Below are 20,101 nucleotides of genomic sequence, written 5' to 3'. Positions count from 1 at the left end.
CCTAGTATCATTCCTAGGGACTCCAGAGGCAAGTCCAGGCTAATATGCTCTGGGAAAACAATGTACAATGTACATGTTTGCCTTTTGACGTAGATAAATGATACCTGGATCCCAGGTCTGGCTCTGGGGCAGGGGAGCTTCAGGCCTGGCTATGGCAGAACACTGAAGGAGGTACTTTGGGTTTTCACAACCTCTTAAATCATCTCAGAGAGAGAGTGAACAACTTACTTTCACATGCACAAGCTGCCGCTGGCTCTGTCACAAGAAGATGGACTACAAGTAATAAAATCAAGATGAAGTTCTGTGTACATCTTTCCAGCTTACAAGAATTGTAGAAAGTTGAAGATGAAAGGGATATTAAAGAGCATCTCATTCTACCTCCTCATTTTGCAGCTGTAAGAACCGAGGCCCAGGGAGGGGGACTGGGGAAGCCACCATCACACAGCTGCTCCGTGGCAGGAGTTGTGCTAACTTTCTGTGGCTGTTGCCATTACACCCAGCATCTTTTGACTTTTGAAAACAGCGAAGGAGAAATCAGTCCTCCCAGCATCTTCACCTCCCACGACGTTTATTGTTTCCAGCTGTTAAAAATTGGCCCTTTAAAAATGGGTCGTCTTGCCAGTCATTGAGGGTCACCGCGGTGGGGAGTGCTGATTTAGAGGGCGGCAGAACAGGGAGGTGATTGGAGGCATAATTGCCAGTCTCCTCCTTGGCACCTGGGGATTTCTGTCATTCAAGTCTCAGGGTGTGTGCCCTCAGCAAATACTAACCCACAGAGTCAATTGCTAACTGCAGTCATCTGTGCATTTGCCCTCTGGGGATGGAAAGCCATAAGAAATGCCATTTCCTAATCTAGTTGGCCTTGGATGAGAAGATGTTTTTGCCTAATGGAAGCCTTTGGAGAGTGAATAATGTGAATAATGTGTATTTAGGACCTACAGTGCTCCCCAGGATGCTGTAAGGGACCTGGTTATAAAGAAAAAAACCTCACTGATGGTCTTGGCTTTGTCCTTGTCTGAGTTAAGTCCTTTTGGTTGGAAGTAATCAACTTGAGCTGACGTAAGCATTAAGGGACATAGAAGAGTATAGCAGTATCTCATGAAGTCCAAGGGCAGATGGCCTCAAGGTAGCCCGAGAAGCTGCTAGGAACCTAGACAGTCCACCTTCTCCAGCTTTCTTCTCTGCTTCGTGTCTCCCTCTGCAATCCACTTTCTTCTCTGTGAGTAGCTGGGCAGAGGATAATCCCTCAACAACTATCACATCTACATCTTCTCTCCTAAAGAGATTAGCCAAAGGTGAGTGGCTGTCCTCAGTCCAATACCAGATTCCTGGGAGAGGGAATTTGGTTGTCCCAGCCTGGGTCAGGTGCACAGCTTGATCCAATCAGGTGTGCCCAGGAGAGGGTGCCCTGAGACAGGCACATCTGGGGACACTCATCCTCATGAATGACCGGACAGTTCTCCAGGAAAGAAGAGAGAAGAGTGGAGGTCAGACATTTCAAATGTATATTATAGGCATCAAATTAGTTACTGATACAGAAAAATGGCAATGTCTAAGTAGGGGGCTTGAGAAACAGTTCAAACACTGTATAGATTTTGATTATTTGCTTAACTTCCAGGATGATAAATTGTCTATTATGGAGCTGTATTTTTTTTTTGGAGACAGAGTCTTGCTGTTTGGCTGGAGTGCAGTGGCGTGATCTCGGCTCACCACAACCTCCACCTCCAGGTTCAAGCAATTCTCCTGCCTCAGCCTCCCGAGTAGCTGGGATTACAGGTGCCCACCACCAGCCCTGGCTAATTTTTGTATTTTTAGTAGAAACGGGGTTTCACCATGTTGGCCAGGCTGGTCTAGAACTCCTGACCTCAAGTGATCCGCCCTTCTCGGCCTCCCAAAGTGCCAGGATTACAGGCGTGAGCCACCATGCCCAGGTGGAGCTGAATTTTTTTTTTTTTTTTTGAGGTGGGAGGATGGAGTCTCGCTTTTTCGCCCAGGCTGGAGTGCAATGGCACGATCTTGGCTCACTGCAACCTCCGCCTCCCAGGTCCAAGCAATTCTTCTGCCTCAGCCTCCCCAGTAGCTGGGATTACAGGCATGTGCCACCACACCCGGGTAATTTTTGTATTTTTAGTAGAGACAAGGTTTCACCATGTTGGCCAGGCTGGTCTCGAACTCCTGACCTCAAGTGATCCACCCATCGCAGCCTCCCAAAGTGCTAGGATTACAGGCATGAGCCACCGCGCCCAGCCAATCTTTTTATATAGTAGATTTCTTGCAATGTAACCCCTATCCTCTGGGCTTTGTGTAAAAAGTGCATTCAGACAATCTGAGGAGTGTCTTAATTTTTTGTGTGACTATCATATATATTTTCATCCTGTTGAGGTGTGTTTGCTAGGTGGATATTGAACATGAAATCAAAGTATAATTTTAAACTTGTGTTGAAATATATGTGTATAAGCATATGTGCACAATTACCTATATTGTCAAACACCCAACCTGCTTTCCAAAGGATTTGAAGCAAGGTCTAATAAAAACACAGAAAAAGTATGGCCAAGAGCTGTAAACACCAAAAAAAGAAGTAAAGGGCAAGTCGCAAACAGACTGCAGTTGAGCAAAGCTGCAAAGGACTATAATACCAGGCCTGAAGTGGTTGCTAAATGTAGCTCTGAGCTTTCTGACATTCAAAGCCAAAAATAGGTATATTTTATTATTTAAACAGTGTCTACTCTGAGGTCCTCAAAACTCTTTCAGGGGGCCCACAGATCAAAACTATTTTCATAATAACACCAAGACATTGTTTGCATCTTTCATTGTCATTCTCTTAGGAGTGTACAGTGGAGTTTTCCAGAAGGCATATGCCATGTGCATCACCACAGCTTAAATGCAGAAACAGACATGAGGATCTAGCTGTGTCCTACTAAGCCAGACATTCAGGACATCTAAAAGTGTAAAACAATGCCACTCTTCTCACTAACTTTTTTGTTTTGGAAAATATATCTTTCATAAAATATTGATTATGTTGATATATTACGGGTTTGTTGTTATTATTTTAAATGAATTAATAAATAATTTTCTGATTTAATTTCTATTACTGTAAATATTGATGGATATATCCTGTATAAGCAAAAACTCTCTGGGGTTCTCAACTATTTTTAAGAGTGTAAAGGGGTCATTAGAGAACTGCTCAAGAATGTTAGTATTATTTAAAGAGCTTCTGCACAGAAAAACTATCAACAGAGTAAACAAACAAACTACAGAATGGGAGAAAATCTTCACAAGCTGTGCATCTGACAGGGGCTAACATCCAGACTCTATAGGGAACTTAAACATTTCAATGAGTAAACAATAATTAACCCCATTAAAAAGTGGGCAAAGGACATGAACAGACACTTCTCAAAAGAAGACATACAAGCAGCCAACAGACATGAAAAAATGTTCCACATCACTACTCAGAGAAATGCAAATTTAAACCACAGGGAGATACCATCTCACTCTAGTCAGAATGGCTATTATTAAAAAGTCAAAAAAATAATAACAGATGCTGTTGAGGCTGTAGAGAAAATGTAATGCTTATACATTGTTGATGGGAACATAAATTAGTCCAGCCACTGTGGAAAGCAGTTTGGAGATGCCTCAGAGAACTTAGAACTACCATTTGACCCAGCAGTCCCATTACTTGGTACATACCCAAAAGAAAACAAATGTTTCCACCAAAAAGACGCGTGTGCTCATATGTTCACTGCAGCACTATTCACAATAGCAAAGACATGGAATCAATCTAGGGGTCCATCAGTGGTGGGTTAGATAAAGACCATGTGGTACACATACACCATGAAATACTGCCCAGCCATAAAAAAGAACGAAATCATGTCCTTTGCAGCAACATGGATGCAGCTGGAAGCTGTTAGCCCAAGTGAATTAATGCAGGAACAGAAAACCAAATCCTGCATTTTCTCACTTATAAGTGTGAGCTAAACATTGAGTACACGTGGACGTAAAGATGGAAACAGCAGACACTGGAGACTACCAGAGGAAGAAGAAAGGGAGGGAGGAGAAAGGGAGGGAGGAAAAAGGGAGGGAGTCAAGGGCTGAAAAACTACCTATTAGGTACTATGCTCAGAACCTCAGTGATGGGATTAATTGAACCTCAAACCTCAGTGTCACACAATATACTCATGTAACAAGCCTGCATATGTGCCCTCTGAATCTAAAATAAAAGTTGAAATTATTTTTTAAAAAAAGAATATTACTATTATTTAATCATCTGTATTAGTCCGTTCTCACAATGCTGTATATTAATAAAAGTACCTGAGACTGGGTAATTTTTAAGGAAAAGAGTTGACTCACAGTTCTGCATGGCTGAGGAGGCCTCAGGAAACTTAAAATTGTGGTGGAACGGGAAGCTTGCAAGGCATGTCTTACATGGTGGCAGGAGAGAGATAGAGAGAGCAAGGCAGGGGGTTGGGGGGAAAGTGCCACACTTTTAAACCATCAGATCTTGTGAGAACTCACTATCACAAGAACACCATAAAGGAAACTGGCCCCGTGATCCAGTCACCTCCTACTGGGTCCCTCCCCTGACACATGGGGACTGCAATTCGAGATGAGATTTGGATGGGGACACAGAGCCAAACCATATCATGTTTTGAGAAAATTCAGCCTAGGTAAACAAAAATTCATGTTAGAAAGTATTACATTTGTATTACAAAAAGATTTTTCATTTTGGAAATATTAGACTTATGGAGGGGGTGATCAATAACTTTATTGATTGAATGATTGAGCAGTTCATTGTATATTTAAAACATGATTCAAGGCCAGGCGCGGTGGCTCACGCCTGTAATCCCAGCACTTTGGGTGGCTGAGGTGGGCGGATCACGAGGTCAGGAGATCGAGACCATCCTGGCTAATATGGTGAAACCCCGTCTCTACTAAAAAATACAAAAAATTAGCCAGGCGCGGTGGCAGGTACCTGTAGTCCCAGCTACTTGGGAGGCTGAAGCAGGAGAATGGTGTGAACCCGGGAGGCAGAGCTTGCAGTGAGCCGAGATTGCGCCACTGCACTCCAGCCTGGGTGACAGAGCGAGACTCCATCTCAAAAAAAAAATAAATAAATAAAAATAAACATGATTCAGATGATCCCAGTTGACTCAGTTTACCAGTTATATGTATAATACATTTAGGAAAACAAAAGTGTATTGCACAGTTGCAGTAGAAAAGAAGGAAGCATGCTTCCAGGTATGGCTAGTGTCTGCAGTTACGCAAGCCCCAGAATGGGAGGAAATGTCTAGAGTTGGTAAAAGAGCAGCACGAAAGAAAATAGGAACTTCAAAGTTTAAGTGGAACTTAATTTCTTTGACAGCATGGTTGAGCAGAAGGTCAAGGCGGTGCATATAAATTTCAGTAAGACATTAGACAAAAATATTTTACAGTGTTCTTCTTGATTAGCTAATGGAGAGATGTAGGGTAGATCATGGTACAATTAGATTGATTTGCAGCTAGCTGGTTGAACAATCATTTCCCAAAAGTCTTGGTAATGGATCCATTTCAACTTCGACGGGGTTCTTTATAGGCTTACCACGGGGCCCTATCTTAAGCCTCACTCAGTACAATATTGTTATAAGTCATATGCTGGTGAAATCTGTTGTTGACACACAGATAAGAGGAATAGCTTATACATTAAGATGCTAGAACCAGAGGCCAAAAACATCTTAAAAGACTGGAGCAATGTGTCAAGTTTAATAAGATAGAGTTTAATAGGATAGCATTCCACATTCTGGCCCCTAAAAGCTCACTAAACAAGTTCATGATGTTTGGAACATGGCATATTTAAATGACATCAGAATGAGGCAAATACATAAACGTATCTGAGCCAGGTCCAGTGGCTTATATATATAGTCCAAGCTACTTGGGAGGCTGAGGCGGGAGGATTGTTTGAGTCCAGCCTGGGCAACATAGTGAGGACCCATCTCTTTAAAAAAAAAAGTATCTGTAAGGACTTTCCTATGAGTAGGCCACCACTTGATTTATAGGATGAGGTTTCCTGAAGCTTCTTGATGTCAGTAGGTCTTAGGCCAGGGGACAAGAGGGTGAGGTTGTGGAAGAAACCTGCATGGAAAGTATGGCTTAAGAATGCAATATGCGCCCATGCAGTGGCTCACGCCTGTAATCCCAGCACTTTGGGAGACCGAGGTGGGCGGATCACCTGAGGTCAGGAGTTCGAGACCAGCCTGGCCAACATGGTGACACCCCCCCGCCCAATCTCTACTAAAAATACAAAAAAATTAGCTGGGCATGGTGGCATGCACCTGTAATCCCAGCTACTCGGGAGGCTGAGGCAGGAGAATCACTTGAACCCAGGAGGCAGAGGTTGCGATTAGCCGAGATTGCACCACCGCACTGCAGCCTGGGTGACAGAGCAAGACTCCGTCTCAAAAAAAAAAAAAAAAACAACAAAGTGCAGTATGCAAAAGAAAACAGCAAACTCAATAAATGACTTTCTAAAATGTGACGGGAGGCCTCAGAATGTATTAATAGAAATATAATGTCCAGAATAAAGGAGGGGGTGGTCCTGCTTTACTCTGTGCCAGTTAGGCCCCACCTGGAATACTGGAGGCAATTCTGGGTGACCACCTTTTACAGAGACTTTGACCAGCTAAAATATACAGAGAACATAGTAATTAAGATGGAAAGCCTCTTGAAATCATGTCATGTCCCTGCTTTCAAAGTGTGACCCTGCTGGCTACCTCTCAGAGCTCACTTCCTACCTCTTTCCCCTCACTGTTTCCTCTTCACTGATGGCCTCATTGGTATTCCCCAGACATCAAGCATTTATCATTTCAAGGCCTTTTTTTTTTCTCTCCCCAGATATTGACATGGCTCATCCCCTCAGTTCAGGAGATTTTTCTGAAAGTCAGGTCCTTGTCCAAATGTTATGTCCTTAATAGGACCTCTCTTACCTCCCAACCTAAAGAAACACTCTCATTCCCAGTTTCTTTACCCTGCCTTTCTTTCTATATATGTATCACTACCTACATTATATTATAAATGTACCTATTTAACTGTTTATTTTCTGTCTTCCTCAATAGAATATATGTTCCAGGAGGGCTGTGGCTTTGTTTTCCTTTTCCATCATTCAGCCATCCTAGGTACACAATAAGCAGTTTTTGTTTGTTTGTTTGTTTTTTGTTTTTGAAATAGGGTCTCACTTTGTCACCCAGGTTGGAGTGCAGTGGTGCGATCTCGCCTCACTGCAGCCTCGACCTCCTGGGCTCAAGCAATTCTCCCACCTCAGCCCCGCAAGTAGCTGGGACTACAGGCATGTGCCACCACACCCAGCCAATTTTTTTGTATTTTTTGTAGAGACAGGGTTTCACTATGTTGCCCAAGCTAGTCTAGAACTCCTGAGCTCAATCGATTTGCCTGCCTCGGCTTCCCAAAGTGCTAGGATTACAGATTACAGGCATGAGCCATGGCACCCAGCCCTCAACAAGGATTTTTTTTTTTTTTTTTTTTTTGAGACAGTGTCTTGTTCTGTCACCCAGGCTGGAGTGCAGTGGTGCGACCCTGGCTCACTGCAACCTCTGCCTCTTGGGTTCAAGTGATTCTCCTGCCTCAGCCTCCCGAGTAGCTGGGATTACAGGCGTGCACCAACACGTTCAGCTAATTTTTGTATTTTTCATAGAGGTGGGTTTCATCATGTTGGCTAGGCTGGTCTTGAACTCCTGACCTCAAGTGATCCACCTGCCTCGGCCTCCCTAAGTGCTGAGATTACAGGCATGAGCCACTGTGCCCAGCCACAATAAGCAATTTTTAATGGACTTAAGGAATAAAATGAGTCCGTACTGCAAACCTACAAAAGAAAAGCCTCTAAGAGCTGCATTCAAACACGTGGAGGAGCTACTTTGTGGAAGAGGTTTTTCCCACATGGCCAGGACAGAATGATGAGTGAGTGCTCAAGGAAAAAAGATTTGAGAATCTCAGGCTTTGTGGAAAAAAAACATTTCTAAGAGTTGGAAAGGGTGGGTCACTTGGGGTGTCCCTGCCACTGGTTGTATTTCCACGGATTTGAGAAAACCACTTGTCAGGGATACCGTTTGGTTTTTGAATGAGATGATACTTAAGACTGTTTCCTATTCCAAAATTTTATGAGGTTGTCACAGGTTAGGCCACCTCTTTCTTATTAAAAAGTATTTTTAAAATTTGGTCTGCTGAAGTAATTTTCCTATGTGAACACACCTTCAGTGTTTTAAATGTGACCATGGATTCGATTTATAGAAACCATGCCCATTTTCTGAAGCACGGTTTGGACTATGTGAGATTTGGAGGAGGAAGATTTTGGTTTCATGAGAAGTATGTATCACTGTGAGGGCATCTTAAGAATGATTAGGATGTACCTCATTTTTTTAAATCTACATAACCAATGTGCTCATCACCCTTATAAATAGTCATAAATGTTGCTTTCTGGGTATTTTTCTAGATAAGACATTGCATCTGTTCCAAGGAGAATGATTTTAGCACTCAATAGCTGAGAAAGGAAATGAATTATCCCATTGTAACTACTAGGGCAATTTAGGTAGTCAGTCACACCTTGGTATGGACAGACAGACAAAAGAATAAACAAGATTCTGCTATGCTTTTTCAATGAGGCCAAAGTTTTCTTTCTCCCTTTCCTTCCTTCCTTCCTTCCTTCCTTCCTTCCTTCCTTCCTTCCTTCCTCTCTCTTTCTTTGAGTCGGAGTCTCGCTGTCACCCAGGCTGGAGTCCAGTGGCGCAATCTCAGCTCACTGCAACCTCTGCTTCCCGGGTTCAAGCACTTCTCCTGCCTCAGCCTCCCGAGTAGCTGGGACTATAGGCATGCGCCACCATGCCTGGCTAATTTGTTGTGTTTTAGTAGAAATGGGGCTTCACTGTGTTGCCCAGCCTGGTCGAGAACTCCTGAACTCAGGCAATCCACCCACCTCGGCCTCCTAAAGTGCTGGGATTACAGGGGTGAGTCACCACGCCCAGCCCTTTTTTTTTTTTTTTTAAATAGCACTAAATGTTTAATACTAACACAGATCTCAGAGGAAACTGAACAGGGGTCTGGTGTTTTTAGAAAGCAAAACAGACAAACAAACTAATGAAAAAATGTTTGTAGAGGACTTTGTGTTTTTGACTTAGAGGAAAAGGGACAAAATATCAGTGCAGAAGGACTCCAGGCAGCTTCCAGCTCAGATCTCCAGCACTGACTCACTCCCACAGATCTCAAGCAGGCCAGGAGCTGTGATACCGCCTGGAAGTGTGTCGTGGGAATTTGTGATTATTTCTCTGGCTATGTGATGAGATTTTCGCTGCCTAAAATCCCCAGAGGTTAGAACCACATGGCTAGCGTTCTGTTAACCTAGTAAGTGAGAAAAGAAAGTCTTTCCTGGAATTCTGAATTGTAAAAATTTATTTCAAAAAGCAAGCAAAAAAGCCCAAACATAATGTTGGCACATTAAAAACAAGCAAACAACAACAACAGCAACAAAAACCCAACAAAAACTGAGCTACGTAAAGGTAGACACGGGGATATCAGCCAGATACTAGAACAGTTTCATGAGAAAGGAAGGAAAGTATGAGGATGTTTGACACCAGTTCCTAGGAACTTCCCGGGAAATGAATTTGTAGGGGAATAGGATCAGTGAAGGCACAGCAGATCCAAGATCACGATTTGGGATGCCTCTATTCGTCCCAAGAGAGAGGACAACTGATGTTCTTCCCAGGGCAGGAGCACCAGATAGTGGCTTTCCTATGTGACTCTGCATCATGGGGCTTTGGGTCTGATCCCATACCCCAATGCTATCCGCAGGGCCTGTATCCTGGTTCTTTTTGTGCCCTACAATCGGTGGAGTCAAGACACCTAACACTAGGTTCTGCTTGTTTATGTGTTTACAGGCTCACTACCCTTGCTGGGCTGCAAGCTCCTTAAGGACAGGAAGGAATTTTGTCCTCCACGGTATTCCCTGCATCTAGCAGAGTCCCAGTCCCAGAGTAAGCGCTCAGTAAAGAGTTTTCAAGTGTTACTATTAAATGAAGTGAAAAGGTCCAAAGAAATGCAAACCTGGCATTACCCCTGTTCTAACCAGAGGCAAAGTGTGCACTCTTGGTATGAGAGAGGATTTCCCGCTCTTGTGTCTTGGATTTTCAAGTACTGAGCCCCAGGAGTCACCTTGTCGCCTGATAACTCATTTCTTCGGTGATGTGGGTAGCCAAGGCAGGGTCTGAGTCCTTGGTCACTACTGAACCCCCACGACAGCGCCTGGCACCCGGGAGATGATCAGTAGGCATTCGTTGAATAAAATAATAAAAGCGACTGCTCCTGGCCTGACTTCTGCCTAGCAGGCTGCCGTCATTACCCAATAAATTGGCCTCTTTCAAAACAGGACACGTTAGGAAATGGAATTTCCCTAAAAGGAAAAGCCAGTAGGGTGGCAGGCCCCTTTCGCTACGCTTTCTGAGAAGGTGAGAAGGAGAAAGACGGGAAAGGGAGAAAACTTCCCAGGGTGATGGGTCCTGCACTGTCCTTTGATCTTGGGTTTGAGAGCTGAGCCCACTCTCCTGGCCATAAAACCCCAGAAACAAGAGCCAGTAGGTTTGGAGGCCGGCAAGGCATTTCCTCCCCACGTGACGAGGTGGCTCCTCTCCGCGCCTGCCGCAGCGCGCGCAGCTGCCGGCGTTTCAAAGGTGAGGACCGGCAGCCTCGTGGCTGGGCCGCGGTGCGCTCGGGGAGCGGGCAGGCAGGGGGCGGTGCCCGCTCCGGCTCTCGGCGCCCCTCCCCTGCCCGCCCCCTCCTCCTCGCGCCTCCATTTGGTGAACTCACAATAGGTTCCCAAGCCAGGAAAGAGACACCTGCCGGTGGCATGCGGCAATGCGGGGCCCGCGAGTCCTCCCGACACGCAGTCCAGGCCAAGGCCCGCCCTGGAGAACTGAGCAGAGCGGGCCGCGCCGGGACTGCACGCGCTTCTCCTTTGCAAGCCGGTTCTTCATTCAGCTTCCAAGGACACAACATGATCTCATCTTTCGACGCTCTTCCAAACATCTTACAACAGGCATAGGTCCACGTATGGGGGACCCCAAATGTCCCGCCAGGCTGGCCCCCGACGCTGACCGTTCCCGGAGCTGCTGGGCCCGCAGAACACAAGAGCGTTGCTCCGCAGTCAGCGGTCACTAAAATAGAGAGAGCAAAGCCTCATTCGATTTCTTTTATGTTCCCTTAGGCTGGCCAGCTTGTTCTCTGGCCACCCGTGATCCACCTCGTGATCCACCCGCCTCGGACTCCCAAAGTGCTGGGATTACAGGCGTGAGCCACCGCGCCTGGCCTTCTGTAATATATATATATATATTTTATATATATATTATATATATATATATATAATATATAATATATATGGCCTGGTGTGGCGGCTCACGCCTGTAATCCCAGCACTTTGGGAGGCTGAGGTGGGCAGATTGCTTGAGGTCAAGAGTTCGAGACCAGCCTGGGCAACATGGCAAAACCCTGTCTCTACTAAAATTACAAAAATTAGCTGGATATGGTGGCTTCTGCCTATAGTCCCAGCTACTCAGGAGGCTGAGGTAGGAGAATCACTTGAACCCGGGAGGTGGAGGTTGCAGTGAGCCAAGAGTGCACCACTGCACTCCATCCTGGGTGACAGAGTGAGACCCTATCTAAAAAAAAAAAAATAAAAACAACAAAAAAAGAAAATGCCAGAGTGTATCTCACATAGCAAAGGTAGTTTCCAGAAACTTCTGTTTAAGATATATATTGCGGGGGGCGGGTGCACAATATCATCTCTGTGACGTTCTTAATAAAAAAAATGCATAACCTCAGTCCAATCATGAAAAAACATCATACAAACCAAAATTGGGGGACACTCGACAAAACACCTCTTCAAAACTGTCAAGGTCATGAAAGTCAAGGAAAGACTGAGGAAAAAGTCACAGACTACAGGAGACTAAAGAGACAGGCAGCTGAATGCAATGCAGGGTCCTGAATAGGACCCTGGAACTGAAAAGGGGTATCAGTGGAAAGCTGGTGTCTTCAGTTTGGTTGATAGTATCATGCCGATGTTGATTTCCTGAATATGACAATTGTACTATGGTTACACAAGTTGTTAATAGTAGGGGAAGCTGGATGAGGGATATATAAAAATTTCTTGGACTATTGTTGCAACTTTTCTGCAAGTCTAAAATTAGTTCAAAATAAAAATGTGTTTTTGTATGCGTGAACGACAGGGGGCTCGTGATGTAGAATATGTTTCTTATAATGGGCTGTGGTGGAAAATGTTCACAAGCCACCTCCCTTGGGTGTGGAAGGTGTCCGGAGGCACCAGCCTGGGCCAGGCGGTGAGGGTAGCTTCTGGAGCTGAGGTTCCTGGAGGGTTTGTGGGTGTAATGGGGGTGAGTAAGAAGCTGCTGGTGACAGATCATGGTCAGATTTGGTGGTAGCTGGAATGATCACGGTGTCTCTAGGCATTTCAATCCAAGCCACCTATCTGCTGTTTGACAGAGGCTGTAGATTCCAGAAGGGCGAGGAACTCTGACCCCGTGAAGTCTGAGAGGTGGGCATCAGGGATCCTGAAGCTGTCACAGTGCTATTCTGTTACAACCTCAAGCAGCCACTTGTGGGAAGTTATATGTCAGGAAGAGAGACTTTTGGAGGATTGGTGGTGTTTGATAGTCTGGAATTGTGTTATCGCTTTTTTCTTTTCTTTTCTTTTCTTTTTTTTTTTTTTGTGAAGGAGGAGCTAATTTCAGCCCTAAACCATAGTTTCTCTGACTGCCCAAGGCTGTAGGCAGATAAATGTCCCTCTTTCACCAGGAATCTTTCAAGCAACTTGGAGAAATAAAAGGTTTGGTGAGGCAGCTGCTTCTAATACCTATACCCCAGCTTTGAAAACATATGGAATTAGAACAGCAGTTCTTGACTGGCGGTGACTTTGCCCCCCGCCCCGCCCAGGAGACATTTGGCAATGTCAGGAGACATTTTCAGTTGTCACACTGGGAGAGAGTGTATGTGTGTGTGTTACTGGCATCTAGTGGGTAGGGGCCAGGGATGCTGTAAACATCCTACCATGCACAGGACAGCCCCCTCCACCAGCACAGTGGAAAATCATTCAGCCCAAGATGCCAACAGTCCTGAGAATGAGAAACCCTGAGTTAGAGGAGATGAAAAGCCGATGTCTGTATACAGTCCAGAAAGTTGCCTGGGTGCTTTTCACAAAAGAAAGGGTTTTAAGCTCCATTTCTTGGCTTGATTTCAAGTGGATAATTATAACCTGCCTACCTAAAATTTACACTTTAATTTTCAGTGGGTATCTTTCTTCAGTTCATGCTTAAACAAGCTAAATGTGGCTGTGTTCTTGACAACAGGGCAATATTCCATGGCTGAGTCGGTTACAGGTCAACAGTGGGTGAAACAATTGGTCTGCAAAGTGATTTGAAGCCTTCGGGGGCTAAAAAGCACTAAAATAAGAAACCTGGGACATTATCATCATTATTAATTATTAGTGATATTACAGCACTTATTCAGCCACTCTCAGGATTCCCACAGGATTCCCATTAGTGCTAAGGTCAAAATCAGATTCCTGACCTTCAGTCCAACACTACTTAGAATTAATATGTTAGCTGTTAGAAGCCGGGAGCTGTCACGCTGCATGTCCCTGCTGCTCCAGTGTTTGGGAGAGGCTTTGCACTGGAAACATTGAGCTTCAAAGCAAACCTTCAACCTTCTATTTGTACTCACTGTTCCCATATATAGAACAGAGCAGCACACACTTGTCTATTGCTTCAAGGCAAGAGCAAATTCTGAAGGTATTAAATAGAGTCTTACTTCAACCAAACAAGAGAGCCCAGAGAAAGCTAAGGACAAGGTTCTGTCCCTTCCCTTACATTTTAAAGATTTTATTTATTTATTTATTTATTTATTTATTTATTTATTTATTTTTTGAGATGGAGTCTTGCTCTGTTGCCCAGGCTAGAGTACAGTGGTGTGATCTCGGCTCACTGCAACCTCCACCTCCCAGGTTCAAGCGATTCTCCTGCCTCAGCCTCCTGAGTAGCTAGGATTACAGGTATGCACCACTATGCCCGGTTAATTTTCCTATTTTTAGTAGAAATGGGGTTTCACCATGTTGGTCAGGCTGGTCTCGAACTCCTAACTTTGTGATCCGCCCATCTCAGCCTCTCAAAGTGCTGGGATTACAGGCATGAGCCACCGCGCCTGGCCTAGATTATAATAATTTAGAGTGGCAGAATTTAAGATCAGGATCCAAGCTGCAAACTCTTAAACTGAAGGGTTATTGTTTTAGAAGCCACACAGATCAGTTTATGAAACCTGATTTGGCTTTTTTTTTTTTTTTTTTAAAACAGCATTTAAATGTTAAACAAGCCTGGACAGCTACAGACAGGCAACAGGCATAAAAGAAGCAGGCTTAAAAAAATTTTTTTATTTTTGGTGTGTTTGTTCATTTTCCCTGGGATTTCTGTCTTTAGAAAGATAATATCAATTTCATCTTTAGTAACCTGGAGTTTTGGCAAAGTGTGCTTTCTGGAATTTTGAATGGTAATATCTGTCGTTTCTCTGCTTGACACAGCTTTATTTAAATAGCTTTAAAATTGAGACTCCTCTGGCATGACTCTTCCTTTAAAATCCATATAATTTCATAGTACAAGTGCTACCTTTCATATATGGACAAGGTGCCACTGACTTTCTTGATTTTTTACTAGTTGATTCGTCTGTACCCTCTCACGAGGACCCTTAAAAACATGCCTTTCGAAGGTGTTAGCCAAAGTGAGGGGCAGAAAGTTTAGCCAAGGGACAGAGTTTGTCTTTGCAAAGCAAACTGGTGTGTTCCAGACAGAGTCTGAAACCCTGGCTCTCCAGGGGAATCATCGCAACAGAGTTAATATTTATTGGCTATTGAGTGTGTGCCAATGAGTCCCAAATTTTCTGTGGAATGACTCATTTCAGCCTTGCCACAACTCCTCTATTTTACAGCCAGTGAAACTGAGGCTCCAAGAGTTTAGGTATTTTATTGATCTAAGGTCAGGAAGCAGAAAAGACTGCGGGAATCTGAAACAAGCCATCTGTCTCTAGAGCCCTTGCTCTTGACCTTTTCCCAACAAACATGATCTAAAATAAAACATTAATCATATTAGCATGTGATTATTACATAGTTTGATTTTTAAATGGTTCAAACTATTTTCACAACTGTTACCTCTTTTGCTCCAGAGGCATGATGGTAACTAAAATCTTGGAATGTGTCTTTTCGTAAAGATTAGATTTGGAAAAGACACACAAGAAACTCCCTTTTCCAGTGCAACGTTAACGGAAGCCCTACTTGAGCAAATCTGGTGCCCCAGGAGATCACCTCAGTTTATTTTCCTTCTCCCAAAGATAAATGTAGGTGGTGGGGTGTTTTAGGGTTTCTTTCAGTACCGCTTTTATTTTTCTACATTTTTCCTGAACATGATGCAATTGATACCCTTTTGAAGTTTAATTATACCTCCGGCGTCACATTGCATGAAGCATTTTCCTCATGGCTGTGTTTTTGGAAGCTAAGTGCATGGCAGTAACAGCATGTTTATCTTGGAGTTGAGACTTGAGAAGCAAGTTCCTCCCTTGAACACGACCTGAGATATATCACCTCCCCATCTGGGATTCCAACCTTAGGTACATAAGGGAGCCAACGCGTCATTTTAAGAGACAATGGGAGTGAGAAGCCATTTTCCATTAATTTAGATGAAAGCTGATGAGGTGAGGGGCAGCCATCTATCATTTCTAGGGGGTTTTAGTACTAGTATCCTCCCCCAACTGCCTCCCGATTCACTATTCTATAAGTGTGGGGGTCAAGAATGGTTGGCAAATCACCACTTTCAACAATGTCTATTTAGGCTTAAACATGGCCCTCCTGCATCAAGTTGATAATGAACAAGTTGCTAAACAGACACATCTGTGCTTAGGAGACCTGTGGCAACTTGCCGGCATGGCCTAGGGGGCCTTTTGTAATTGGTCCTCGCCTTCCTTTCTGGCCCAAGCACTGGCCACTCCCTATTCTGCAGCTATACCAGGCAGCCTGCACCTCTTTACTCCAGATGGGGTCAAAGGCAAGTCATGGCTACATTTTGGACTTCCAAGGATTGGTTTCCTACTTCTAGCCTGCAAGTTTGAGATTTAGTGGTTCTAGGATGGATGAGGTGGTCCTGGGATGATAACCAACTCATGCAGCCAAACCTTCAAGACACAGAGGAAATTCAATGTCATCATTTAAGGCAGGAGACCCCTCCAAATCTTTCATCCATATGGATCCATTATTCTGGGATGCCTTCTTTCACTTCATCTCTTGAATTATAATATTAATATATTCTTCCTTCAATATTCAGTCATCTCCCAGGAGCAGTGTTCCCCACCCACCTTCTGGATGGGATGTCTGTGCCACGGCCCTTCACACCCTGGGCTTCCCTCAAATGCAGTACGGACCACACGGAGGCCTCCCAGCATGGTTTTATCTACCCCTCCCACTAAACTATATTCAATCATTCTGGCTGATAGTAGGGGATCAATATATTTGTTCAATGAATGAATAATTCTTTCTGGTAGAGGAGCCTATTTGGGAAACAACTCAAGTCAGATTACTTGGTGAATATTGAAGGCCTGGAACAAGCTGAGCTGAAAATGCTCCAAATCTACTTCTGAAGCCAGCTACCCTGTCCCATGGCCATTATCGCTCTCCTGGTTTGTCCTACATTCTTCAAACTCTCCATATTTCAGTGCTGTGAGCATCTCTGTCGGCTCTGGTGGTGTCAAAAGGGCCCCCAAGTAGCTCCCAACTCATTAGTTAAACTTGGCCATGACTGTAGTGGAGAAAGGTGCTAGTCTCTTACGTTGAAGAAGTGGGATCATGAGTAGGGCTAGGCCCACTGTGTGGGGTCTTTCATTTGTAGATTTTCTCATGGCTACCTCTGTGCCCCAACAACATTGTATGCCTGACTGTTTTTTTTTTTTTTTTTTGTGGAGACAAGGGTCTTACCATGTTGCGCAGGCAGTTCTCAAACTCGGGCAGTCAAATGATTCTTCTGTCTCAGCCTCTCGAGTAGCAGGGACTGCAGGCACAGGCCACTGTGCCCAGCTTGCCTGCCTTTTAAAGGGGTGGAGGAATGCTTTTATGCTAGTGGCTGCATAGGACACAGCCATGCTGGGGAGAATTTCCCACTCGGAGACAGCTCTGCATGCAAGCAAAGGAGATGGCCTCCTTCATATGAGATGAGAACGGAAACTGCTTAAAACGAGTCTCTCACCACTCCGTGCAATGAAATTCTACCATCAAATCCAAGTATCTGCCTCGAGGGGCTTGCAGGCCTACAATCTATTAACCTCTCCTAACACATTAGCATTAATTAGTTTGTTCAAGGACAGGTCCATTTGCAGTGTGGAGAAAGGCGCCTGAAAGGTCTGTAATTGCGGAGATGAATAGAAACGTGGGCAGCGTGCGGACCTAAGCTCAGGCCACGATCCTTCTCTTGCCTGGGTTTCGGCCCGTCTCTTTGAGACCTCAGCCAAGCTCTCTAGCTGTGGAGTTTTATCCTCCAGTTTTGGATGGAGAGCACTCATTTTCTTTCTGGGCCCAAATGAAGTGTAAATACTTTAAACTGCCCCCCAAAGCCCGGTAGGTCAGGTGCTGTCAGTAACTAATCATGAAGCTGATCTCCCCCAGTCCCAGCACTCAGCATGAGGGCAGCCCTTCCCATTTCCTCCCCTGTCCCCTGCAGGAATTAATCCCTCAGGCCATCACATTCCCAGTGCATTTTCTTTTTATACTTCTGTGTGTCACTTGGGGCTGTCTGCCTTGAATTAGAGTTATTTGTGTACCTGTGCCTGGTAGCCTCCCCACGACTTGACGATTTGAGCGTCTGAGTGACAGGGCCATCTTTTTCATTTTTCTATTCCTCGGAGCACCCTGCTCAATATTTTACATTTAGGTACTCAATGTGTGGTTTGAATTGAATTGAATGCAACAACTGGGATTTAGATTTGCTGGATGAACCACTACCCTGTGTACCCTCAAAAATACACGAACTTGGGTAAGTTTCACAACTAGGCTGGAGTGGTTGTCAACAGTGAGCCCATGAAAAGGGCTACACACAGCCTGAAATTTTCTAGATAGTCTTGGATCAAAGTAGCCTATCTTGTTCTCTGAGTATATGTACACTTTTTTTTTTTTTGAGACCGAGTCTCGCTCTGTGGCACGATCTTGGCTCACTGCAACCTCCGCCTCCTGGATTCAAGTGATTCTCCTGCCTCAGCCTCCTGAGTAGCTAGGACTACAGGCGCCCGCCACCATGCCTGGCTAATGTTTGTATTTTTAGTAGAGACAGGGTTTCACCATGTTAACCAGGATGGTCTCCATCTCTTGACCTTGTGATCCACCCACCTCAGCCTCCCAAAGTGTTGGGATTACAGGCATGAGCCACTGCACCCAACAAATTTTACACCAGAGGTTTCTAATTTGGGACTTGGAAAGTTAATGGCTATATCTGTGGCACATCAGTATAACAATAATGACAATAATAATGGTAGCCAATAAACATTTGTCAAGTGCCAAGCGCAGAGTTAAGTAAGCGCTCTTTCCTGTAGCCTGACAATTACATGAGGCACTAGGTAGAGAAGTTAGGTGGTATCTTTATTTGTGGCTTTACCATTCATATGTTTTTCCTAATGACTTTTTGGACTCTGACCTGAGGCTCTTCATTGCAGGCTCAGCCCAGGTCTGACTTGGTTGAAGCAGGAGACAAGTTTGCTGGAAAGCTGAAGGAGAACTCTCCCACATCTGATCTGCTTTTGGGTTTATGGGTTGATCAGAGTTTTACTCACAGCAACTGTCAGCTGTTAATAAAGACAACAATTTGATCCCATCCTAACCACCAGCTTAACTTCTTCCAAGGAGGCCTGTGGTTTTTCCAAATGAGGGTTTTCTTTCTTTTCTAGCAACTCAAAATACCCTGTTTATTTATTTTGTTTTATTTATTTGTATTTTATTTTTACCTTGCATTCAAGCTAACAAGTTATGGATCCTATTTACTTAGAGTTATTTAGTACATGCTTTATATAAGTGTGAAATATTCTTGACCGGGCGTGGTGGCTCACGCCTGTAATCCCAGCACTTTGGGAGGCTGAGGTGGGCAGATCACCTGAGATCAGGAGTTTGAGACCAGCCTGGTCAACATGGTGACACCCCATCTCTACTAAAAATACAAAAAAATTAGCTGGGCGTAGTGGTGTGCACCTGTCATCCCAGCTACTCAGGAGGCTGAGGCAGGAGAATCACTTGAACTCTGGAGGCGGAGGTTGCAGTGAGCCAAGATCACACCACTGTAAGCCACCCTGGGCAACAAGAGTGAAAACTCCGTCTCAAAAGAAAAAAAACGTTTGGAATATTCTTTATGGTTTCTTGTAACATGCCCTATTCTATTGTATGTTGTCATAAAATCAAGGCAGAGAACATCTGAAACTTGCTGTCTCATTTTCTCCTATCATGCTTCCTGGGACCTTTTTCCTTCATATCCCATCAAGCCCAGCTCCTGTGCTAATACTCCATCTAGAATTTCCCATAACCTACTGCAAAATCTGTTTCTTAATAGGTGAGGCCAGGCGTGGTGGCTCATGCCTGTAATCCCAACACTTTGGGAGACCAATGTGGGAGGATCACTTGAGCCCAGGAGTTCAAGACCAGCCTGGGCAACATAGAGAGAATCTGTCTCTTTTCCATCGAGGCCATCAGTTACTGTCTTCTAAAGAGAAGGCAAGCCCATTCTCCAGCCCAGGACAGAAAATTGCAGTGATGGATTCACTCATTCCACAAATATTGATTGAATGTTTTCTCTGCAGGGCACGATTGCAGGTGTCAGGGATGCAAGAGTGATTAAGAGAGAGGGGGCCCTGCCCTCATGGAGCCTCACTCCAGAGGGGTAAGTCACCTCCAAGAGGCCAAGCCCTGGGGCCTGATGGGGCTGGGAGAGTGGGGGTAGTAGGGTATTACTCTGATGGGGCTGGGAGAGTGGGGACAGTGGGGCATTACCCGCAT

At 44.6% G+C, this 20,101-nt stretch overlaps 1 annotated feature.

Annotated features, from left to right (window-relative positions):
- Nucleotides 10,694–10,833: a silencer, noted in NCBI's record as "silent region_5230". NCBI's record gives its function as "represses an Ori minimal core promoter by ATAC-STARR-seq in GM12878 lymphoblastoid cells {active_cell/tissue: GM12878}" and the evidence as "EXISTENCE:reporter gene assay evidence [ECO:0000049][PMID:35858748]".

Source organism: Homo sapiens, chromosome 13 (genome assembly GCF_000001405.40).
Source record: "Homo sapiens chromosome 13, GRCh38.p14 Primary Assembly".
Classification (NCBI taxonomy): domain Eukaryota; kingdom Metazoa; phylum Chordata; class Mammalia; order Primates; family Hominidae; genus Homo; species Homo sapiens.
Note: the sequence above shows the minus strand (reverse complement) of the source record. Positions and strands in the feature narration are given on the sequence as shown.